General features: G+C 36.5%; 1 protein-coding gene and 1 long non-coding RNA gene across 5 annotated transcripts in view; both read left to right on the top strand.

The window, feature by feature from the left end:
• The window catches only part of TRPM3 (transient receptor potential cation channel subfamily M member 3), a 917,912-nt gene that overhangs the window by 108,550 nt on the left and 783,398 nt on the right, over positions 1-25,964 (top strand). The gene's annotated exons all lie outside the window — the stretch shown is intronic.
• LOC107987079 (uncharacterized) overlaps positions 8,368-25,964 on the top strand; it is a 47,614-nt gene continuing 30,017 nt past the window's right edge. The window contains exons 1-3 of the long non-coding RNA XR_001746718.1: positions 8,368-9,293; positions 9,377-9,500; positions 11,254-11,462. This is a non-coding gene — a long non-coding RNA (uncharacterized LOC107987079). The remainder of the gene's footprint in view (positions 9,294-9,376; positions 9,501-11,253; positions 11,463-25,964) is intronic.

Genomic DNA, 25,964 nt, shown 5'->3' with positions numbered 1-25,964 from the left:
TCTGCTAATTTGCTGGACATACTACGTATGACACATCATGTAGGCTTTGCCTTCCGCCATTTCCCTCTGAAGAGCGTTGAACGTTATTCCAGCAGGCGATTAAATTACTGGCAGATCATCTTGGCCTTCTGAAGGCTTGGTTTTAGGTTTTGTTGGAGTAGAGCTAAATCAGGCTTGCGCTTACTCTAAGGAACATCTCTGAGTCGTTAGATGTGACTTTTATTCCTCAAGTAAACAAAGGTTCAAAAAGGGATGGCTGAAGTTTTTACCAAGCCTTTTGACTTAGTGAGCAGCGCTGCCAAAGTTTGTGGTAAGCTCTTTTTTTTTTTCTGTTGTTGTTGTTGTACTTTAAGTTCTGAGGTACATGTGCAGAATGTGCAGGTTTGTTACGTAGGTATACATGTGCCATGGTGGTTTGCTGCACCCATCAACCTGTCATCTACATTAGGTATTTCTCCTAATGCTCTCCCTCCCCTGGCCCCCCACCCTGCAACAGGGCCTGGTGTGTGATGTTCCCCTCCCTGTGTCCAAGTGTTCTCATTGTTCAACTCCCACTTATGAGTGAGAACACGTGGTGTTTGGTTTTCTGTTCCTGTGTTAGTTTGCTGAGAATGATGATTTCCAGCTTCATCCATATCCCTGCAAAGGACATGAACTCATCCTTTTTTATGGCTGCATAGTATTCCATAGTGTACATTTGCCATATTTTCTTTATCCAGTCTACCATTGATGGGAATTTGGGTTGGTTCCAAATCTTTGCTATTGTGAACAGTGCTGCAATAAACATACATGTGCATGTGTCTTTATAGTAGAACTATGATTTATAATCCTTTGGGTATATACCCAGTAATGGAATTGCTGGGTAAAATGGTATTTCTGGTTCTAGATCCTTGAGGAATTGCCACACTTTTGTCTTCCACAATGGTTGAACTAGTTTACACTCCCACCAACAGTGTAAAAGCGTTCCTATTTCTCTACATCCTCTCCAGCATCTGTTGCTTCCTGACTTTTTAATGATTGCCATTCTAACTGGCATGAGATGGTATCTCATTGTGGTTTTGATTTGCATTTCTCTAATGACCAGTGATGATGAGCTTTTTTCATGTTCATTGACTGCATAAATGTCTTTTGATAATTGTCTGTTCATATCCTTTGCCCATTTTTTGATGGGGTTGTTTGTTTTTTTCTTGTAAATTTAAGTTCCTTGTACATTCTGGATATTAGCCCTTTGTCGATGGGCTTCCATTCTGTAGGTTGCCTGTTCACTCTGATGATAGTCTCTTGTGTTGTGCAGAAGCTCTTTAGTTTAATTAGACCCCATTTTTCAATTTTGCCTTTTGTTGCCATTGCTTTTCGTGTTTTAGTCATGAAGTCCTTGCCCATCCCTATGTCTTGAATGGTATTGCCTAGGTTTTCTTCTAGTGTTTTTATCATTTTAGATCTTACGTTGAAGTCTTTAATCCATCTTGAGTTAAATTTTGTATAAGGTGTAAGGAAGGGGTCCAGTTCCAGTTTTCTGCATATGGCTAGGCAGTTTTCCCAACACCATTTATTAAATAGGGAATCCTTTCCCCATTGCTTGTTTTTGTCAGGTTTGTCAAAGATCAGATGGTTATAGATGTATGGTGTTATTTCTGAGGCCTCTGTTCTGTTCCATTGGTCTATATCTCTATTTTGGTACCAGTACCATGCTGTTTTGGTTACTGTAGCCTTGTAGTATAGTTTGAAGTCAGGTAGTGTGATGCCTGCAGCTTTATTCTTTTTGCTTAGGATTTTCTTGGTTATGCAGGCTCTTTTTTGGTCCCATATGAAATTTAAAGTAGTTTTTTTCTAATTCAGTGAAGAAAGTCAGTGGTAGCTTTATGGGGATAGCACTGAATCTATAAATTACTTTGGGCAGTATGGCCATTTTCATGATATTGATTCTTCTATCCATGAGCATGGGATGTTTTTCCATTTGTTTGTGTCCTCTCTTATTTCCTTGAGCAGTGGTTTGTAGTTCTCCTTGAAGAAGTCCTTCACATCCCTTGTAAGTTGGATTCCTAGGTATTTTATTCTGTTTGTAGCAATTGTGAATGGGAGTTCACTCATGATTTGGCTGTTTGACTATTATTGTTGTGTGGGAATGCTTGTGATTTTTGCACATTGGTTTTGTATCCTGAGACTGCTGAAGTTGCTTATCAGCTTAAGGAGATTTTGGGCTGGTCAGCTCTTTCAACCTGCTATCTTTTTTTTTTTTTTTCGGACAGTTTGTAGTCTTGCCCTGAGCATGTATATGTTATGAAACTGTCCTACTTACTTCCTAGGTGAGAAGAATGAGTTCTATTATTTTGTGGTTATTTTTCAGGCTAGCTTGCCAAAAGACACTGATGTCTTCTTGGAATATGTTAATAAGCTAATAGTTTGTTTTGAATGAATTGATTGGTAGGCTGGAGGAGCAACACCTTTGAATATTTTTCTCCTGGACTGATCAATCTCACGGACTCCATGATGATTTTTCTGACTTTGGCAAATCTCTCTGCTGCTCATGCTGTTCATATGCAGAGTCAGATGCCAAAAAGGATCGTATCTCCCCACTTGTAAAAGGGTTAAAGATATTTAGTATTGAAGTATAAAACTGTTTGTTAGATTCTAATAAATTCCACTTGATGTTAGACCATACCTGACATTCTTTATGTTTACAAAATTAATTTGAAGATTTGAACAATATATGGTAAGTCTGTGGGAAATAACTCCTTTTAAAAAGGTTATTTCTGTATTCTTTTAAATAACTCAGTTTATTGATCCTGGGGGCCAAACATTAGGGTAAGTTTTGATTTCTTATATTATTTCAAATGAAAAAATAGGAAATTTAATTTCAGCAATTATATTCAGAATTGTTTCATATCAGTGATGAGGAGATGCTCAAGTTTAAAGTGTTCAGTATGTATAAGTCACATAGGAAGATTATAAGGGCGTGTTCTATTTTAAAAGTACTCACTGTATAAGAATTTAACCACAAGTCATTAAGTTTAAAGATGGCTATTCTCTTTATGAAGCACTATTTCCTTAATATTGGTTTTGTATAAATAGTCTTCTGGTATATTGAAAAAAAATTGTAATCTGAAAGAACTTTATTTGCCAAACTCCTACCCAGGGTTTCAGGGCAGGGTCTAGGGTTACTGAAATCTGTAATAGTCAGTCAATGCTAAATAGAAAATCTTGCTAGGGAGGAGAGCTAACTCCAGGTCTCCAAGAAGCCATGACCATGTTTCATGCCTGCAAACTTATTAACATACTTTCACTTCATTAAAGTGATTACAGTTGCTTTTATCCATAATTTTTTGGTTACCCGTGATCTCCTTCCTAATACCTTCTAGTTCATTTCATTCCATTATGGCATTTAAAAGCTAAGTGGTGATGACATTTTGTAATGTAGGGCAAAATTCCATCATTTATTATTACCAATAATTGATTTCTCTTCAGTGATTCTTTATGGAGCTCAATATTGGTATGTATATGGAGAATAAACCAACAATGAGGTAAATAGTTGGAAAGAAAAAGATGAAGAGAAGAAAATAATGCAGTAATTAGGGAGTTAACTTGTAAAGCCTTGAACCAGCATCATTACTGTAAAAATATAAAGGAAGTAATATTTAAGCTAATTAAGTTAAAGTTAAAGAACAACTAATCAGATTTCATAACTAAATGGAAATGGCTATGGTGGAATGGTTCAGGAGGAGGCAATTTGGGGAGAAAGATGGTTGTTGAATAAGAAGTAGGATAGCTAAGAGAAAACACAATTTGAGATAAAGGATTATAGTTCAGGGATGTGGCCAGAGATAGAAATGGCTATTTGGGATTCATTCTCTTAGAAATGATAGATGAAATGTTGAGAGTGGGTAAGACAGGATTAGCCATCATCTGTAATAGAGCAGAGGATGTTATGGTAATTCTGTGGCAAAAATTTATAGAAATATTTTGTCTTAAAATGTTTTAGTATGACTTATATCCAGGAGTACATTTTTGTATTAGAAATTGGTCTCTTTTTCCTAGCGGTTTGCAACTCATGTATGTTAACCACAGTATAGTCTTTCACATTTAAAAATGGAAAAATAATCCCTTAGGTTTTCCTCTGCTGCTTGCTTATTAGTATTCTGTAGAAACACATGAGCAAAATATTAGGCAGATTTAATATTAGAGCTTTGAGTGGTTCAAGGTCTCTTTCTGGTGAATTACTTAGTTATAATTTTTTTCTCTAATTTTATTACTGGTGGTTGTGCCTACTTGTACCAGAGCTTCTTACCTTTCAAGATACCATCTCTGTTGGCATGTTATACTTTAGAAGAAAAATTAGTTTGTTGTTTCATTGTATTTTAGAAGACTTTCTCATTCCACAGATTTATCAATGAATGCTCACTTTCGGTCATCATCTCTGGCATTTCCCTTATTAGCATACCAATGGAAAATTGGAGCTTTGCAATTCCCTTTAACCTTCAGATGTGTTATTTTCCTCTGTGTGACATATTGAGCTATTAAACGAATTGGTTTTCAACTTAAATAGAAACAGGAGATTTCACACACTGGAATCTGGATTTCCAACTGCTCCTGAAAATTTAGAAAATCGGTTCACATTCTGTATTAGGTATCTACTGTTTCAAACAACAGTATTTATTATCTCTATTTCTGTGCATAAGGAATCCAGGTGTAGCATAACTGGACCTCTGGCTCTAAGTCTCCCACAAAACTGCCCTCAAGTTATCTTGTAGGGTTGAAGTCATCACAAGAGTCTGCTGGAAGAGGACTATTTCAGCTGACTCCCGTGGTTGTTGGAGGAATTCCGTTCCTTAGAGGATGTTGATCAAAGGTCTTCCTCAGTTCTTTCTCACAGGGGCCTCCCCACAGGGCAACTTATCACATGGCAGTTTGCCTTATCAAAGCAAAATTGAGAAGAGCCAGATAGTGTGCTAGCTGCATAGAAATGGCCGTCTTTTGTGAGCTTATCTTGGAAATACCATCTTGTCATGTTTGCTGGTTCCTACTCTCCCATTGGAAGTAAATCTCTATGTTCAACCCACACTCAATAGGAGAGGATTATCCAAGGGCATGAATGCTATTGGGAGCTATTTGAGAAGTCAATTTCGTACTGCTGAGTTTTCACAGCACAGACACTTGTTAGAGCTGAGTTCTGACCAGTTCCCTAGAAGTGGGTCATGAACTCTCTGGTTCAGAGCCGACTTCTTGCAGTCCCCTTAACGGATTCATGTTCCCTGCTGGGATTCCATACACAGTTGAGTTTGTGATCTCTGTTGAGTGTCATTGTCACTATCTTTTTTATAGAAATATTTGTTGCACAGTTCAAAATTCTTCCCTTCTCTACCCTGGGGAGACAAAATAACCACGTGGAGTCCAAGTATTATACTTGAAAGAGACCAGATTGAATATAAGCATATTGTTATAATACACCATGTTTTGGAAGTTCTGTGGGAATTCTCCTAATATTGATTTGAACTTTATTGACATGGATATTTCAATGATTTAAAACTGTTTAAGAAAACCTACTAGAATATATTACATAAAAGTTGTCACACTTAGAAACCAGCAAAGCTTAATTTGTGTTTTTTTCTGGGCAAAGCTTCCACTTTGCACATACATTTAAAAATTTTTCTAAATGTGTTGTTAATTAGAAGCTTGTGGCATTGCACTGATCTTTTTAAGAAATCCTATAAAATTGTATATGAATGCTCAATGGTGTGAAGTAGCATCTTCATGAAATTGTGCAACTAAAATGAAATATAGGAATAAATTGGTAAGGAAACTGATGTCACACTGTAACTTTTCTCTTTATCTCCTGATTTCACATTTTTGTTTTTTTTTGGTTCATCAGAGTAGAATCTACTGCATTCTTATGACTGGCTTTGTAATAAATACATTTTTAAAACTGAGTTTATTTAAATTAATAAAACGTCTCTCTTAGCTCAATTGTCAAACTGTGTTAGATTTCACTGGAGCAAAGAGTTCTGTGCTGAAACACACACACACACACACACACACACACACACACACCCAACATTGAAAACCACTGACCTAGACTAAGTTTTTGGGGGCAGTTAGACAGACTTTAGCCAAAGATGTATCCAAAAAAAGCATTATTTCTAGTCAAAATCATAAAATAGTGGAATAAAAGCTTGTTTTTCTGTAATAGCTACAAATAATATTTAAAAACTCGAAAGTGCAGCAAAATTCTAAAGTATATTTTAAAATCATCCAAGATTTGAATATACTTAGTAGTTTTCTTAGTGAAGGGGTTATTAGTAGTGGATAGATACGTTGATTTTGTTATTTGACCAGTGTGTTCAATTAACCAGAATTTTCTATTCCTTAACCATACTGTGTTTACAGAAAGTTTATTTTATGAATACTATAGCTGTACAATAACCTGTGTAAATAGTTTAACCCTCCTCCTTCTCCTCCTCCTCCCTCCTCCACCTTTCTCTTCTTCTCCTTCACCTTCTTCCTCTTCCTCCTCTTCTTCCTCCTCTTCTTCCTCCCCTTCTTCCTCCTCTTTCTTCCTCCTCCTCCGTCTCCTCTTCTTCCTCCTCCTCCCTCTCCTCTTCCTTCTCCTCTCTCCTCGTCTTTCTCCTCCCTCTCCTCTTCTTCCTCCTCTTCCCCTTCTCCTTTTTCTCCCCCTTTTCCTCCTCCTCCTTTTTCTCCTCCTTTTCCTCCTCCTTTTTCTCCTCCTTTTTCTCCTTCTCCTCTCCCTCCTCCTCCTCCTCCTCTTCCCTCTCCTCTTCTTCCTCCTCCTTTTTCTTCTCCTCCTTCTTCTCCTTATTTTTAGAATATAAACTAAATGATAAGAAATGTAAAAAGCATGCTTAGTAAATAGTAAATATTGGGGTTCTTCTTGCAAGATTATAATATAATGTAGAATATAGAATAATTATGTTTTACATAGAATATAAGTCATATAAAATGTAGATGAGAAATGAGGCAACTATGTCCAGTAACTATGTCAGGAAACCAACTATTACTGTGCCATCTATTATGAGCCTGCATTATAACTTAGATAAACATGAAGGATATTTATTACGAGGCAAAATTAATGTGTGGCTAGTTTATCTTATTTGAACATTAGTGAAAGTTTTCATATGCTTTTAAACACATATTTTCAGATTTCACAATCTAACTTTTAAAATGAGTTTCTGTTATGTAATACTTGTTTTCACAAGAAGTTGTATATATTTATCCAAAATTTTGCCTAGGATTATTTTTATTGTGGTATAATTAACACACATTTATGATTATTTTCTAAGTAATCAATAATTTACTAATATTCTTTAAGATCAACTATATGAAATTATGTTACCTACTCTGGAGTTCTAATTTGTCTTCTTAATTTTATTAATGGAAAATTGAGATCCCAAGAATCTTAGCAGCTTGCCCAAGCTCTCATGGTCATTTAAAGATACACAAAATCTGTTTTTTGAGACCCAGACAAGTCTTGTAAAACAAATGGAGACGTATCTAGGCCAGATCAGCACTCTATCAGCTGCTGCCCCTCCTGAGGCTATGGAAACCCCACCAGGAAAGACTGTGGTTCCCTTTTGACTCTAGGAGTTTTAGTAGGTTCTGCCTCCTGTATCTGTGTGAATCCTTCTCATGGTCATCTGACATACTTGGATCTTACCCTGCTGCTGCCTTGTACTCAGATTCCCCTTATCTCTTCTCTCTATGGTGTATATTAAGTGTTAAACACTAATTCACACTGGGTATATTAAATGCTAAGTTTTTAATATACCCAGCACCCCGTCCCTCCTTTTCTGAGATGGAGAAATCAGAAATGTAATCTGTGCTTTTTCTGCTATAGCATACTAAGAATTTGATTTCTTATTATTAGAAAAATATTGGCAGTAGGAAATTCTAACATTTCAGGGATATTGTGATCATTAGTATCATAATAGCTGGTAAGTAGCTGGCATTCAATAAATATGCTCATTATCTCTTTTCTAGTGTAAATAATTAGTATAGGATTCTGAATTTTAACAGTGCCATTTATGTGTGAATCTATACAATGATTATAAAAGTGTTTTTCTCTCATTGGAGCAGGCCCTACACAGAACTGAAAACTTTTTGGTTCCCTAATTGAGTTACTGTGTATTTCTGAAAGTAATTAAACTATGTAACCTTAACAAAAATCTGCAATCTAGTTTTTCACAGATTCAGACTGCAATTTCTGCTCTAATTAGCCAAGATTAGGGAGATGTTCCTGTGTGTGGTCCGACAAACACAAGAGCCGCCTGCAGGAAGGATACAGCAGGACTGTGCCTAAGGAATACATTTTTGGGGTGCTATGCTGGGCACTATGCTGCAGCTGCTACCAGACTGTGATTTCTAGTGGTTTGGCTTTCTTCTATTGTACTTCTAAATTTGGGTTCTTTTTTTCTCACTCATCTTTTCTGGTCTGCCAACTTACATCCCGCAACTCCTGTGAATTAAATCTTAGAAAATGATGCTTCCAAGAAATTTTCTGTATTTATTTGTACAAGGGTTCATGAGTGCTTATGTTTGAGTTATTGGATGCTCTCACATAGCAGGTGCTCAAGAATCCTCCTTTAATAGAATTTCAGAATCATAAAAACATGTTTTTACATTGTTAGACAATACCCCCAAATCCTAGGGCCAGGCATATATCTCTTTTCTTCAGGATAAAGGATGCAGGAAGAATATAGAGGAGGAGAACTCTAGAATTTAGAGATAATAAATAGCTTGATGCAAGATATTTAAGATTCATATTGATTTGTCTTCATGGCTACATATTATTTTGAGTACTCATGACAGTGGTTTTCAACACTTATTGTAACCTGTAACCCCCTCTCCCTTATGCAATATAATTCATATCTCCAATTTATAAAGCATAAAGTAGAGCTCCTTTAGTTGCTGCAGCATCTTTATGGCCCCTTTGAACTTTTTGCTGTATTCCTGAGGTTCAGCTCACCTATAAGGCTTTGGGATATTCCATACTCAACTCTTATTGACCAATGGAAATAGTGAAGAATCATCAGATAGTTAAAATGGTATTTAATTCAGACTGTCGAATATATGCTTGGAATCATTTTAGATACTGTACAAAACAGAAAATTATAAAACCTACTCATTTCTTTGCAGGTGCTAATTTGAGAGACAAAATAAACACACATGAAATAAGAGTGAACAGTCAAGGCGGTTGATAATTAAGCATAGCTACATCACTATTCTGGGATTGTTGCTACTGTTACTGTTATGTGTGCTGCAAAGCCCACGTTAACAAGCAGCAGGTAACATTCAGTAGTGTTAGACATTTTTCTTACCTTATCTTATTCATCCTTGTAATAGTTCTATTGTCACCTATCTTTTACAGAAAAGGAAACCGAGGCTCAGGAAGGTCAACTTCCTTGCCCATAAACACCAGAATAGAATTTTGAATCCAATGAAGTCTACACTTTTGATTATTACACTTTGCAGGCATTCAGCATTGTCCATATGTGAGTACAAAAGGTGTCAGCCTCTGGGAATGGTTATAGGGATACATTGCTTTCTGTGACAGCATTGAAGGTAGCAGTTATAATACGAATGGGACTTGTGCTATAATGCAGTACATTAGACATAAAAATATAAAAATATCAGAGCAGTTGAAGGAGCTTTTGTATTTTGAAACCAGTTCCATATAAATTGTGAATTTTTAAATAAGCGATTGTTTTGTTACAGGTATTGCTATGCCCATCAGAAAGGATGAGGAAATTGACCAAAAGACACTAAATGACTTGTCTTATGCTATGTGGCTAGGGACAGATCTGGGAATCGAAATCAGTCTTCTATGTCCCTTTCTACCAAGGATTTTTTCAGAATTGGGAAAGTAAAAAACAGACATTTTTGTAGGTTTAGTGGCAAATCTGGACAGGTTGAGCTTCCACATATGTGGGGAAGATAAAAGAGAAGTCGGCCGGGTGCGGTGGCTCACGCCTGTAATCCCAGCACTTTGGGAGGCCGAGGCGGGCAGATCACGAGGTCAGGAGATTGAGACCATCCTGGCTAACACGGTGAAACCCCGTCTCTACTAAAAAAAATACAAAAAATTAGCCGGGCGTGGTGGCAGGCGCCTGTAGTCCCAGCTTCTCCGGAGGCTGAGGCAGGAGAATGGCGTGAACCCGGGAGGCGGAGCTTGCAGTGAGCTGAGATCAGCCACTGCACTCCAGCCTGGGTGACAGAGCGAGACTCCATCTCAAAACAAACAAACAAACAAAAAACAGAGAGGTCAGAAAATATAAACAGGGGGTTGGAGACCCTTTGGCTTCTTCACTCTTGTCACTTGGGGTTTTTTTTTTGTTTTTTTTTTTTAATTCAGAAAAATGACCTATCATTTCTCTGGCTAATGCCATCTGTAGTCATTCCCACTCTTTGATATCCAGAGAACAGTTCATCTCCCAAATGAACCCAGTCCAGTAATGGTGTGGAGCAGGCAAACTGACCGCTTGGAGGACTGCTATTCTTGTGCTCCTTAATGCCAAGTACCACACATAGTTGACACTCAGGAAACTATTCCTCTTACATCCTTTTTGGAAGCAGTCAATGTATCCTGATAAACACATTAAAACATTTTTAAAACGTTGATAGAACCTCTCAGGAAGATGTTAGCAGGCACAGATTGCTTCAGAAGAAAAGTTGACTTCTGTAGGGACTTCAGAGACTGTTGGAGGAAAAGAGTGGAAGGAAACTTCTTTTGAACAGTGTGTGTTTTGTTTCGGATATGCAGAATTAAAAACCAGACTATGTTATTTAAACATTTTGAAACACTAGTTCATTCACTGTATACTTTTTTAGGTTGAAAACCATTACGTGATTTGTATTGCACTGTTTTCCCTGTTCCTAGGTTAATCTCATATTTTGTATCTCCTTGGTGGATTGTGTCTCAAAGGCTCTCAATGGGACTCATAAGTGCATATAACATTCTTCTCTATATCCCTGGAAAACCACCACCTCTCTTCTGAAGGGGACATTTCTTGGGGAGACAGTGCATGGCATGGCTGATCAGTCAGCCTGTTCCAGCATGACAGGTGGTTAGACATCCCCCAGAAACACCAGCACATTAAGTCACTAGCACAATGGCATTGGCAGTCGTTCATTGCTTTTCACAGCTAACCTCTTTTCAGTGACATTTTGCTCCCCATAACATTTGAACAAAATTGTAACTTGAAATCAAATCTAAAGTATCTTTAATAAAATCTAATTCTGCCTCAGACCACAAGAAGGCAGATGCCGTGGTCCAAGGAAGATGGAGGAGCAGCCTAACTCCAAACAGCAGATCCTACCAACTAATCTGGATCTGTGTCCAGTTACGGAAACTGAGGAGGATTTTCTGTAAGAGTAGAGGCTCTGCACAAAGCACACATGGTTGATCAGTCCATGCAGCCTTATCTAGAGACACGGTCCTGATGTCATCTTGACAGGTGAGTGCATAACCAGTGTATTACACAGCTCAGTGAGTGAATGTAGGATGCTTGTTCTCTCCTCCGTGCACTCTCAGATTGGAGCCTGGGAACTGCACCAGAGACACTAGCCCTGCTTCTCCTCTGCTGTGTTAGAGGAGATTGTGAGAAGGTTCATTATCAGGGCCCCAGAGTTGCTGAGGATGAAGGAGGTATTTCTGAGCCTAGGGAAATTCTAGCTGGCTCCTATGTCTCCTGTTTATCTTCTCTGACACAAAAGGGTATCCCTGAGCTTCTTTGCAAGCAAATCAGGAACACTAAATGGCAGTATCAATGCGGGTGAATATTGCATGATTAAAAGACCAGTCATCTACTTCCTTGTCTTTATTAGAACTTGTGCTTGAGAAGTACCAGTTGCATTTTATGAGTTCATGACTCATTCAACCATCACTTAACAGCACACTCATGCTCAGCCAGGTAAGTTATTGGGTGCTTATGAATGCAGAGATTAATACAATTATTTGCCTTCCAAGAGTTAAATACATACATACATACAAACATACATGCATGCATATACACATACATACTTGTGATACAAAGAGCACCTGATAAGTATTGCTCACCTGCTGACACCTGGGAAGGCCTTAGGTTCCTCATCTGTAACATGGAAATGTATGCAGTAGTCTTTTGGCTTTTCTCTAGCTCTGATGTTTCTTGATTTCTTCTAAATTATTAATAAATATCATCTTTCTTAGAAATGTAGGACATTTTGTTTGCTACAAGATAGCATCATTCTGTCAGTTCAATAACTACATATGTTCTTCCCCACAATCTTAGGTTAAATAGGCTTAATGCCCGTATTTTAAGGCTTTCAAATCTAAGAAGTAAAAATATTTTCTGACATGGGCAAGTATTACTAAATTTGGATGAAATATATAAATCAAATACATTGCAATGTTCATATCACATCACTAGAATCCATTCTTTAATAGAAACTTCTGTTGTAGCAGAAACATCTTCTGAAATGATAGTCCTAGATTCTGCCCAAGCTTCCCAGAAATTTGTAAAATCTCTAGGTGAATCCAGTTATGATAAGCAATGGAAAATACATTGTTATAAGCAGAGTAGAAAAAGTGCCAATAGAAAAAAAATCATAAAATTAAATGTTCCCATTTAATGAAGCATGTGGCAGAGCCTTCGTCACTTTGTGTGTGTGTGTGTGTGGGTGGGTGGGTGTGAATGAGAGGGAGAATATTGTCAGGATCGTTGAGAAGAAAGAAGGGAGTTTATGCCTTTGTAGGTTTTGTAGGTTAGTGGGCTGCATCACTGCCTTCATTCCTTCTTCCTGCCTAAGCAATTTTTTCATTAACTCACACATTTATTTACCTGTTATGCTCAAGGCTGTCTTTAAACCATGTTGTGTCCTCTCTCACCTCTGAGTAAAAGTGGATTTTATCATTTATAATCTCTGTAACTCTAGAGTTGACACTTGGCTTTTCTGAGCCTCAATTTTTTTTTCACCTGTGAAATAGGGGAACACTTTTCTCTTGAAGTTGCTTAGGATTTAATAAGCATGTGTGTGATAAAAGGTCACATGTATACCAGCAGTCTTCAAAGGTGATGTATGATAAGTTGGTGCTGAAGACATATCAGCACGTTTCCTTGCTCATCACATTGGCCTGCAACATAGAAATTGACTTTGGTTGATATTTGTCCGATTTCACTAAATTTTGGTAAAACTTTGTTTTAATATCTTGTGTTAGAGGTCTGTTTGTTTTTGTTTTGGTTGCAGAAAATACTAATAATGTATTTGTTACTTGTACAAACTTGTGAGGTATGTGAGAAATTTTTTTACATATATATATAATTTGCAATGATCAAGTCAGGGTATTTTAGGTACCCATCACCTGAGTACAATAGATTTTTGTTAAGTATAGCCACTCTACTCTGTTTTCAAACATTGAGTTTATTTCTTCTTACCGTATATTTGTACTCTTTAAACCACTTCTCTTCATCTTCCCTCCTCTCCCCCACTCACCCTTTCCAGTCTCTGTTATCTATTTTTTAAATCTCTACCTCCATGTATTCAAATTTTTTAGCTTACACATGTGAGAACTGCAATATTTGTTTCACTTAAGATAATGACCTCCTATTCCATCCATGTTACTTTAAAGGCATGATTTTCTTCTTCTAATGGCCGAGCGGTATACTATTGTGTATATATACCACACTTTCTTTATGCGTTTATCTGCCAGTCGACACTTAGGTTGGTTCCATATCTTTGCTATTGTGAAGAGTATTGCTATAAACATGTGAGTGCAGTATCCTTTTGATATATTAATTGCTTTTCCTTTGAATAGATACCCAGTATTGGGATTGCCGGGTCAATTGGTAATTTTATTTTTAGTTTTTTTGAGAAATCTCCATACTGTTTTCCATAGTGGATATACTAGATCACATTCCCATCAACAGTGTATAAGAGTTCCCTTTTCTCTGCATCCTTATCAAAATTTGGTAATTTTTGGTCTTTTTAATAAACAGCCATTCTGACTAGGAAAATATGGTATCTCATCGTGGTTTTGATTTGTATTTCTCTGATTAGTGGTGTTGAGTATCTTTTCATATACCTACTGGTCACTTGAAAATACTGATAGCTTTGGATTATTTAAGAGACTTGTGATTTCTAAGACTTTCATTTATATATTTTTCTTAAATGTTGTTTTCTAATTTCCAATTATTACTTATCATTTTCCTAGTTATTCCATATATAACAATATTTCTATTACATATATTAATAAAGTCATATACTCCATCTATCTAATCTATCTATAGATTGATTAGAAACTCATACCAGGTGAATGCATTCTGCCACTTTACAGTATCTAGTGAATGAACTCTATAAGGAAGAGAAAATTCACAATTTTGTGCATGACAAAGAGCATTGGGAATAAACCCAGAGCTTAATGATTCAAGTCAGGGCTCTACCACTGTTCTTCAGTTAAGGAAGCTCTGGTTGTGACAGAAGCCCACTCAGGCTAGCTTAAGCCAAAGGATTCAGTGTAAGCCTTCAGTAGTCAATTTGACTGTCATCTAAGATCAGCAAATAAAGTACAGCCAGACCCTGTGTGGATCAGAAGAGAAATCCAGTAACGAGCTCCCTTTCTTTCTCTCTTCTAGGCTGCACATTTCCCTTCATGTCATCTTCCCTCTCATCTTAACGTGTCAACTTTATTTTTCCTTCACTGGTTTCTTTTGCTTGCCCATATTGGATATGACTTTGCAAAGTCATTTCTTGGTCCCTCAAACCATAGCGTGACCTTTCATTTCCAAAGCCGACATCCGCCAATAGCCTCTTTTTGTCTCAGTTCAAATTCTCAGGACAAGCTAATGAAGTGTTCATTGGTTTGGGGTGAAATATCCATTTCTGATCCATTTAGCAGTTTTGGGTGGAAAGCTTGCAGACAACAAAGCATATCTAGTATAATTCTTACTAGTTTGGTGAGTTCAGTTAACATTCAGATCAATTTTCTCATTTGAAACAATGTAGATAACACTACCTCTTTCAAAGGATAATGTGAAGATGAATAAAATAATGTATATGAGATTGTTGGATAAAGTATAAAAAGTTCTACAGTAAGAAAAAGACTACTTTAGAGAATAGTGGTTACTAGGTAAGTTGAAGCATTTGGCAGCTGGTATTCCTGAAATTAGTTATTCCCTTTAAATTCACTTTCACTCATTTCAAAGACTTTTGCCCCAACTGTGCTGTAACACATGAAGGCTACTGTAATGGTGTTTCTGAAGACTGAACAGAGACTACACTGTTTAAATTACTTGGTTATGAAATCAGGACAAATTAGTGTGAACTGTAAGGGGAAAAAAAGATGGGGTGTTAGTGTTTCCAAATGTTGAAATATTTAATATACTATCCAGTCTTGACATTTAGAATGTATTATCTTTTTTAAAATTTAACAAAGGGCAAAAAAGATGGAGAAATATTGCAAAAAGGTAAATGAAAGTGGCTGATCTTTTGACAGCAAATACACTTAATAGCTGAACTATTACCCTTCAGCTAATTATTAGTTGAACTAAGCACTTCTTTTTATCAAGTCAAAGTACTTAATTTATGGTTTGCCTTTAAAAAAACTAAACACAATTTTAACTTTGGCAATGCTGGGATCTGGAGAGGATTGCATAAATGTGCAAGTCATTATTTTGAAAATACATGAGAACTTAGAGATCAACCAAAAATATCAACTAGTTTATATGATGCTTTTTTCATGAAATTCTGGACAAAATGTCTACCTCATATAGGGATTTTTTGTTGTCTCTATTGACACCATAAAATATGAGTTGGAAAAAACCAGCAGACTCATTCTTGCTCCTAAAATGTTGTCCGTGAAACAGTATTTGACATTTTCCTTGCAACTACCTCACTCACCCAGAGCATGCTGGTATAGTCTAACTTTGCTGTAACCTGAGGCAGTATGACTGGATGAGATGTTATTTATGGAATAATATATCAAGTTGGATTGCTAGTTAGATATAAAGATGCTTAATGACCTTTCATTTAAAAGAATTTCTTGCAATCTTATGAGAAATATTTTAAATAACGATATTTTATGGTATCATCGTCTGGATGAATCATTTGTGTGGTTTGTCCATATGTGAATTATCTGTGCAAAATTCACAGGCTAACATTCAGTTAACATACCGTTAGGGAGATCTAAAATCTTTAGGGAGTTAAGACCACTGCTAAACATATGATGGAACCTCAAATCATATTAAATGTCATGACATACCACTATCCCTCAAAATTCAAGTTGTCTGTACTTGGATTGTAACACAAAATCCAAGTTGTCTATACAACCAAAAATGTTGATAAAAGCTTCTGTGAGTCAAAAGTTCTGTCCTAACTCATAGGCTAGTTCATCTACAACTTTTAATTAAACATTTAGCTTTCTTACTTCTGTGTATTTGCTACAAAGCTTTTATGCACCTCTTAATCTCTTTTATCCTACCTCATTTTTTCCTTCTGTGACATCTTCTGGTTGTGGGCTTTTAAACTTTTCTCATATTATTTTTGGCTCCTCAAGTACATTGTGGGGACTTTGAGGGTAGGGACCACTTCTTACACTTCTGCATATGCTAAAAATTGCCCGCCAAATTAATGTACATGGACTAATTGCTCAATAAGTATTTGCTGAATGAATAAGGACTTTTCTATTTACAGATGCTAGCCCCAGCTTAGACCCCTTTAGCAGATCATAGGCACTTTTTTTCCTCCTGTGTCTGGTTGATTATACTTACCAGGAAGTTCATCTCACAGAAATGACCATCATTTCATCAATGAAACATTTGTGATACATTTTACATCTTGTTAACAAATGCATACAGTGTTTAACCCTGTTTATTTTTTGTTTCTTACATCTTATATTCTAGGACTAGGAAGTCTCATGTATGAATGCCTCATATGAGATGAAAGTGATATTTATGTATATTCATAGTTTCATGTTGCTGATTTTTCTGTTTGATTTTAACTAAGTGGTCTAAGCAAGGGAGGGACATAAGCTTTTGCTTTAGGACAATCACTTTGGTTGCACTTGTAACACAGATTTTAAAGGCAAAGACCACAGATGAGGATAAAAATTTCAAAGCATTTGGTATAATCTAGGAAAGAGGTGATGACAATGTTAGGGTCTAGTTTAGTGGCATTAGGATTGAAAAAAGGTGGATAGATTTAAAAGCTATTTAGTAGGAAGAATTTTAAAAATGATTGAATTTCAGATATTCTGAGGAGTAGGAAGGGATGGTTTGTGTTTTGAAAGATCCTTCTGGCTCAGAGAATACATCTTAAAAACTAGAAGACATATGGGTTGATTTGTTAGGTAGTTGCTTAAATTGTCCATGATGGTAACTTAATCTAGGATGGAAACAGCAGAAATTGGTAGAAGTGGACCAGATGGAAAGAGACTGTGCTTAGAGAGTAAAGACAACAACAAGTGATGATGCCTTCGATGTGGGAGGAGGATGAGGGAGAGAGCGATGTCAAGGATGGCCCTATGCATGGGTAGCGGGATGTATCATTCACTGAGATAGGGGAATTGTGGAAGAGGATCCTTTTGAGGAGGAAGATCAACACTTTCTCGTTGGCATGTTGACTTTCAGATGACTTTGGGACATTCAAGAGGATTTTTCAAGTAGGTTAGTGGATAGGTACCTCTAGAGCTATGAGGGGAGATCTGGGTTGGAGTTACACAATTGTGAGTCACCATGTATAAGTGGCAATTAAAGGCATTGGGACTGAATGAGATTGCCAGAGAGAAAGAAGAGGGCTGCATGTTGAGCAGAGAGGAACTTCAGTATTTATACACTGGGTCAAGGGAGTTAATCCTGCAAAGGAGATGAACAATGAGGTGTCCAGGGTTGGATTTTACTGGTCAGGAGCAATGAAAGAACAAATGAAGAACAGTGTACAGAATACTGATTAAGAAAAGGATATTTTTCCCTTCTCTTGTCTCTGACCAACATTGGTATTTTCTTACTGCCACACTAACCTATGTTGGTCTAGTCCTTTCCTGGAGACTCTTCTCAGAGAACTCTGTTTCATGAGATTGCTCAGTGTTCAGACCATGTAATAAGCATTTGTTTTTTTTTTTTTAATTAACATTGCAAATATGTTTGCAATACCAGAATTGCAAGAAAGGTAATTCTAGAATTGGCTTCACTCTGTATTGCTGTTCTTTTTAATATACCTTTCACACTTTAGGGAACACAATATATTCTGGGATGGCTGTGGTCCAGAAGAAACTCCCTATTGCTGTTCTTTTTAATATACCTTTCACACTTTAGGGAACACAATATATTCTGGGATGGCTGTGGTCCAGAAGAAACTCCCTACCCCAACAACTCCCTACCCCAACCCTTACTCATATTCCCATCTTCTTCCAAAAGCTTTTTTGGAAGTGGTATTTTTAACTGCTCCTTGCCCATATAGTCTAATTTTAGTAGCTCAATCCTTAAAATAACAAAGCACAAAGATATAAAGTCTTCTTATATTAGAATTTTGTAATTCTTCCTTTGTAGGTATCTCAGGAACCAGCAAGAATGGCTCAGAGTAATTTTTGTTCCTTCTCTCTCAAAATTTCCTTCCCATTTCATGTAGTAATGGCCATAGCCTAGCTGACCCTGAGGATCATTTGCTTGTTGCCAAAGTAGTGGGATTTCTGAGGCTAAGGGTAACATTTTTGAATAATATTATATTAATTTAATAATGTTATCTTGTAAAGCACACTCTTGGTTAATTTTATGTGTCAGCTTGACTGGGCTAAGGGATGTCCAGGTAAGCGGGTAAGACATTATTTCTGGGTATGTCTATGAGGGCATTTCCAGAGAGAATGTCAGTTGAATCAGTATATTGAATAAAGAGACTCACCCTCAGCAATGTGGGCAGGCATCATCCAAGCCATTAGGGCCCAAATAAAACAGAACGGTAGAGGAAGGGCAGATTCATTCTCAAGCTGGAACGTGTATCTTCTTCTGCCCTTCAGCACTGATGCTCCTGGCTCTTGGGTCTTGATATTGGGATTGGGACTTACACCCTTGGCTTCACTGGTTCTCAGTCCTTTGGGCCTGTGTTAGAATGACAACCCTGGCTTTCCTAGGCCTCCAGGGAGCAGACAGCAGACTATGGAACTTCTTAGTCCCACACGATACATCTCAGCCGAGCGGTCATTAACCTCTTTCTAGGTCTCTATGTGTAGACTATTGGCTCTGTTTCTCTGGAGAACCCTGACTAATACACTTACAAAGTATGTGACTATGGACATAACCATGAATTTCAGCTCATCAATTTGCCCACTAAGGGACCTTATATGAATAAAATAATTAACTTCAGAAATACTAAAAATAAAAAACTTTTGATACATGGGACAAAATTGGTGAATCTCACAATTTTGTACATACTATATAATTTACATAATATTTTAGAAAATGCAAATTTATCAATAGTAACAGAAAGCAGCCTGTAGTTGCTTGGAGCTGGGGACTGGGGCAGGGGGCTGGGAGAGGGATCTGGGATAGATACCAAGGGAAAGTTTAGGGGGCAATGCAAATGTTCGTTAGCTTGATTGTGGTGCTGGTTTCAGATGTCAAAACTAATCAAACTGTACACTGTAAATACATAAAGTTTATCTTATTTCAGCTATACTTCAATAATTTTTTTAAAAAACACACTAAGTGACTCAAGAAGAAAAAATTAATTTTAAAGTTCTCTTTAACTCTCAACGTCCTGTGATTCTTTTATTTTAGCAGTAAGGGGACTACAGGCTAAGACAATGCCTTATAAGAGTTACTTTTGCACCTACCATTAGAGCGAGATAGTTATGGTTACAGATTGTTAGTTCCCGGCAACTGCTTTTATAACAGAGGGTCTCCTTCCTCTTATCTAGTGAGAGAATGATTCTTAAAAATTTAAAAATACTTGCAGATTAAAGGAGAAATGCATATGTTGTAGACACAACTACTGAAAAATAAAACACTTGTTTCACCATTCTGTTGTTTTTTAATTATGTGCAATAAAAGTTCATCCCCAATGTAGAGTTGTGAAAATCCTGTACAAATTTGTAGTAAGTCAAAATTTTGGATTTTTAAAGAAAATGCCATTTTAGTTGTCAAAAATAATGACATATTCATGGAACATGATTATATTTGGAATTAAGCCTCCATTACACAATGTCATCTCCTATTTTAAAACCCCTGATTTTGGCTGCTTTTTAACCTTAGAATTCAATCATGATTAAATATATCTTCTAAATTATCACAAACTCTGTATTAATAGATATTACTTACAAAGCTTTATTTTTTTCCCCACTGTATTTTTTTGTTTGTTTTTTGTAGAGACAGGGTCTTCCAGTGTTGTCTAGGCTGCTCTCAAACTCCTGGCCTTAAGCAATCCTCTTGCCTTGGCCTTTCAAAATGCTGGGATTACAGGCATGAGACACCATTCAGCCTCCCATTCTATTTTAAATGTTGAAGCCCAATTTCCTGCCTGTACTTTTTCTAGGATGTATTTAAAAGTTATATTTTTGTTTTTATTTCAAAAATTTGGTCCTAGCCAGAAATTTGATAAAGATGATTAATGCTTATTTAGATAAATTCGAAGTACTTTCTTATAAATACAAAAGTATTTTGTGAGATGAAGGAATGAGAAAAATAGTAGTTTAAAAATGTAAGTAGAATGAAAACAATGGTTTTTTGTTGCACCTTCTCTCTCGCGCGTGTGCGCGTGTGTGTGTGTGTGTATATATATATATTTTTTCTTTTTCTTTTTTTTTTTTTTGAGAGAGGGTCTTGCTCTGTCATCCAGGTTGGAGTGTAGTGGCCCAATCTCGGCTTACTGCAACCTCTGCCTCCTGGACTCAAACAATCCTCCCACCTCAGCCTCCTGAGTAGCTGGGACTATAGGCATACACCAGCATACCTGGATAATTTTTGTAGTTCTTATAGAGACGGGGTTCCACCATTGTTGCCCAGGCTGGTCTTGAACTCCCATGCGCAAGCAATCTGCCTGTCTCAGCCTCAGCCTCCCAAAGTGCTGGGATTACAGGAATGAGCCACTGTTCCAGGCCTTGTTCTATATTTTGAACAATTTTCTTGATTTTATAGAAAATACAAAGAAGTTGTTTTATCAATGAGCCTTTTTTTACTTAACAAAACATTTCATACTTCTGGCCCAAATACTTGTGATTCCATTTCTGCTAGAAATGATAGATTCAGCTCTCTTTTTAAGGTGTTCATTTTTGAGCCTTTAATCTCAGCATTCTCATGTGCACCACAATGTGAATGTAGCAAGACAGGTAAGAAGTACATTCTGGTTGTAATACATCCTTGACATCTTATGAAGGAGAGAGTAAAATAGAATGACAGAAACCCAGAAGTAACATAGGGGATATGGTTTATGTATAACCTCAAACTCTTTCATGCCTCAAAAAGTTAGGAATTCAATATGTGCAAATTTTCTTACTAGAAAAGAATTCAAAGTGATACTGTAGAATTATGAATGCCATTATCCATCTGAAAAGTGGTAGGCAGGTGGCCCACAGGATTTTTTTTCTTTACGATGAGATTAATTCTTATGAGTGATATCAATTTTCTTTTGCTGTTGTAATTAATTCCCACAATCTTAATGGTTTAAACAATAAAAATGTATTACCTTAGAGTTCTGTAAGTCAGAAGCCTAAGTGACTCTCACTGGGCTAATATCAAGGTGTCAGTTGGGCTATGTTCCCTTCTGCAGGCTCTGGGAGAGGATCCATTTCTCTACCTTTTTCAGCTTCTGGAGGTCGCCTTCATTCCTTGGCTTATGGCCTCCTCCTTCCATCTTCAAAGACAGCAATGTTACGTCTCTTGGTGACCTCTCTCACTTTTATCTCAGACAGAAGGGTTCTTTTAAGAACTCATGTGATTCAAATGGGCCCACCTGCATAGTTCAAGATAATCTTCCTTTCTCCAGGTCCTTAACCTTAATCACACTGCAAAATCCCCTTTGCAATGTAAAGTAACATATTCACATGTTCCAAGGATTAAAACATGGACATCTTTGAGATGTCATTATTCTGCCTACCACATTGGGTAAAATACTAGAACAGTTAGGGAGTAACCAAGGGCAGAGACAGATTGAATTAATGGACATGTTTTAGAGCGTGTCTGTTGGTATGGTCTTCAAGAGAAGAACCAGCAAAAACAAAATTATCAACAGAAAAGTAGACGTTGGGATAACACCTTTTAGTTAGCAGTTGCCACACTTTGCACATAGAGCAATCCTCTTTGTTCATTCAATATTTAAATAAACTAATGACACTATTAGGCCTGTCCTGTCATCTGTTTCCCAATCTGGGTAGCAGATGTAACTCCATCATTTAGGTACTTGAAGTTCTATAGCAAACAGTTGAAAACTACTAAGGTAAAATAAAACTAGGTTAATAGACAGTTTCTAAATCCAGAGTTTCTTGCCTAGAGTATATTTAGGGTCCACAGGAGAATGACAATAACTATAGCCCAACCAAACTATAAACCAAATTTTGTCTTCTCAGAAAAATGTTTTTGACTTAAATAGATAAAACTATAATACATCTACATCAAAACAAGGGCAAGATTTTGCTCTAGTTTTTAAATTTGCAAAATAAAAAGTCCCAGTTGTCACAAAAACTTATTAATAAGAGAAAGCAGATTCTACTATTAAAAATCTTTTTAAAACATTGCTGGATAATATCCTCTTTGTTTTAGTTAAATACCTTAATTTCTTCAGAATCCTTTTAAACTGTATTTTTCTTAAATTGATTTTAATAAATGAGCTGGAGGAAATGAATATTCATGTGAATCTAGTAGATGGCTATAAACTTAGCTGGATTTGATGGTCTTAAAATTAATTGTATTTTAAATTAATTGAAATTTAGAGCTCAAGCTATAAAATCAGTGACAACTGAGTAAAGCAGGGATCTAGACAGAGTAGAAAGATAAGTTCGTGTCATGGGAAATTTCTCAGTTTCAAATGTATGGGAAGTTTGAAAAATGCCTCTTCCTCCCCACTACTGATGCTTATAAAAGCAATAACTGGTTTTATATGCAAAAAATGCCTGAATTATGCAATAGAATCACTTGGTGTATTTCTAAAAGTTCATGTGTGAATGTAAATCAATACCATATTTACTTGTGTAATTCTTTTACCCCACCCCCTGTAGAGTGGGCTGGACAACCTAGGAAAAGTCCAGAATGCCTTTGATTTCAGTCTTCCTTGAGTCTAGATGGAAAAGAGAAGGACTCAGTGAAGTAGAGGAAATTTGGAGGCAGAAAAGGGTATCAGTGCTTATTAAACCCTACCATGTACCAGATATGCTGTTTCATACTTTCTACACATTGCCACACATTTTAGTTAGTTATCACCCAGGAGACAACACTGAGACTTAGTGTGGCCAAGAACCTTGTACAAGATCAAACATTCTACATAGTCTATAGCCTAGCCTGGCTTGGATGCTCATAGGCTTGACTCCAAAGCTTTGTTTTTCTTATCTCTTCCACGCTGCCTCTGAACGTTGATGCCCATTTTTTTTTTTTTTTAATTTCCTCTTCTCAATCAGAAGGTCCTGCTGGCCTCAAAGAAAAAAGAAGCTAAGTCCCTCCAAATCTGACACTGACATGTTTATAGGATTCCCCAAAGCAGCCCAGGGCCCTCAAATTAGAAAAGCCTTCAAATTATGGGACTTTACTTGTTCTAGTTGGGGGATTCATTCACTTTTCTAACCTGTGGCCTCACTGCTAAATGATGATTCCCGTCTGGGAGCAGATGGAATGTGTCATGCTCTCTGAATGAGGTGGGGGCCATAGTTATACTTCAGCTCAAATTCTCCCTGTCTTGTCAACGCACATCAGATTTCTCTGAGGATTTCGGTTTCCCTCTCCATTGCTTCTTTCCATATGCTTTTTGGGATTAATAGGGTAGGTATGGGGCCAAAAATAATTTTCCCAATTTTAAAAGAAACTTTTCAATAATGTTGACTATAGTTGAAACTAGAGAACAAAGAAATGATCACACAGGCTACTGAAAGAGAAAGAAACTTAAATGTTGAAGAATAAGGAAGGCAGGACTATGTGGAAAATAAGTTTGATAAAATGCTATCAATTTATGTGATATTTTTCTTTGATAAAAAAATCATATGATAACTGTGTTCTTGGTGTATTTATCACAGGTATAAGTGAGTTCTCTTTAAGGCCAGTAGGGTATTATTGAGGAAAAAACTCCTGTAAAAAGTGTTTGAAATATAGGGAGGCATTACAGTGAAAAGATATTCATCACACCATTATAATGCCCAGCAACATTATAGAATATGGAGAATAGTTAAATAAATTATTGACTCTATTGTGAGGTCCTCAGCCTTTAACAGTGGTGTTTATGAAGAATTTATAATGACATGGAAAAGAATTTTACAATAATATTCTAAAACAAGATAGGAATATGATCTTTTCTTAATTATGAAAATGCAAAAAAATTCTAAACAAAACTGCTAAAATGTTAACAGTCTTGCCCGAGGAGTTCTGGTTTATTGCTGATGTTTTCTTCTGCTTCATTATACTCTTTCAATATTTACAACCAGAAAAATGATAAGGTTCCATGATGAAAAAGAAAAAGAGTTTCAGTATTTTCAAGTGACCAATGAGGAAATAAAATATCCTTCAGGTCAGATGGGATTTCTCATTGTTGCAATTTAAATGGATTATGTGATCTTTCTGTTTAGATTAAAGCCAATGGAAATAAGGAAATAACAGTAAACCTAAAGACTATGTTATCTCAGTAAAAGGAAAAAGTAATTAGAAAAGGTATGCAACAGAAATGTCTTAACTGTGATAGGTCAAGAAAATGGATATCAGGAGTCATATAAGGTACATCTTTCAGACATTAAAATATGATGTGATTTATTTTTGGACACATAAGTTAGATAATCTTGGAATGAAACATAAATGACATCTTAATGCATTTGCTATGTTTTGCCTTTTTATAATTTCCTTTAATGTAAGATTATCTTATAAAACAGACAGGTCATCTAGAAATTTAGGAATCAGGTATGAAGTCTCAGTTCATTATTTTAAAAACTTTTAAAGTACTAGATTTGGGTATCCGTATCAGTGAGCAATGATTTATATAAGAACATAAAGATAGTACTTAAAAAATTTTTAGTGTTTTGTCTTAATAGACTCCTTTTTAAACAGCAGATTAGGTTCACTGCAAAATTAAACAGAACATACAGAATTTCCATTGTCCCATATGCCACCTTCCTCCACATATGCACAGCCTCCCCGACTATCAACCACCTGCGCCAGAGGAGGTGCAGGTGCATTAACATTTGTTAATTGGTGAATTTATATTGACACATCATTATCACATAGTTTATATTAGGGTTCACTCTTGGTGTTGTACATTCTATGAGTTTTGGCAAATGTGTATAATGACATGTCTCTCCCATTGTAGTACTATACAGAGCAATTTCACTGCCCAAAAAATCCTTCGTGCTCTGCCTATTCATCTCTCCTTCCCTCTAATCCCTGACCACCACTGATGTTTTACTGTCTCCATAGTTTTGCCTTTTTCAGAATGTCATACAGCTGGAATCATATAATAATGTAGCCTTTTTCAGATTGGTTACTCTCAATAATATGCACTTAAGTTTTCTCCATGTGTTTTTATGGTTTGGTAACTCAGTTCTTTTTGGCACTGAATAATATTCCATTATCTAGATGTACCACAGTTTAGCCATTTATCTACTGAAGGACATCTTGTTTACTTCCTAGTTTTGGCAATTTTGAATAAAGCTGTTACAAACATCCATGTGCAGGGTGTTTCTTGTGGATGTAAGTTTGCAATTCATTTGATTAAATGTGTAGGGGTACAATTGCTGGGTTGTATATTAAGAGTATGTTCAGTTTTATAGGAAACTGCCAAACTGTCCTCTAAAGTGGCTGTGCCAATTT

This window comes from Homo sapiens, chromosome 9 (assembly GCF_000001405.40).
Source record: "Homo sapiens chromosome 9, GRCh38.p14 Primary Assembly".
NCBI lineage: Eukaryota > Metazoa > Chordata > Mammalia > Primates > Hominidae > Homo > Homo sapiens.
Note: the sequence above shows the minus strand (reverse complement) of the source record. Positions and strands in the feature narration are given on the sequence as shown.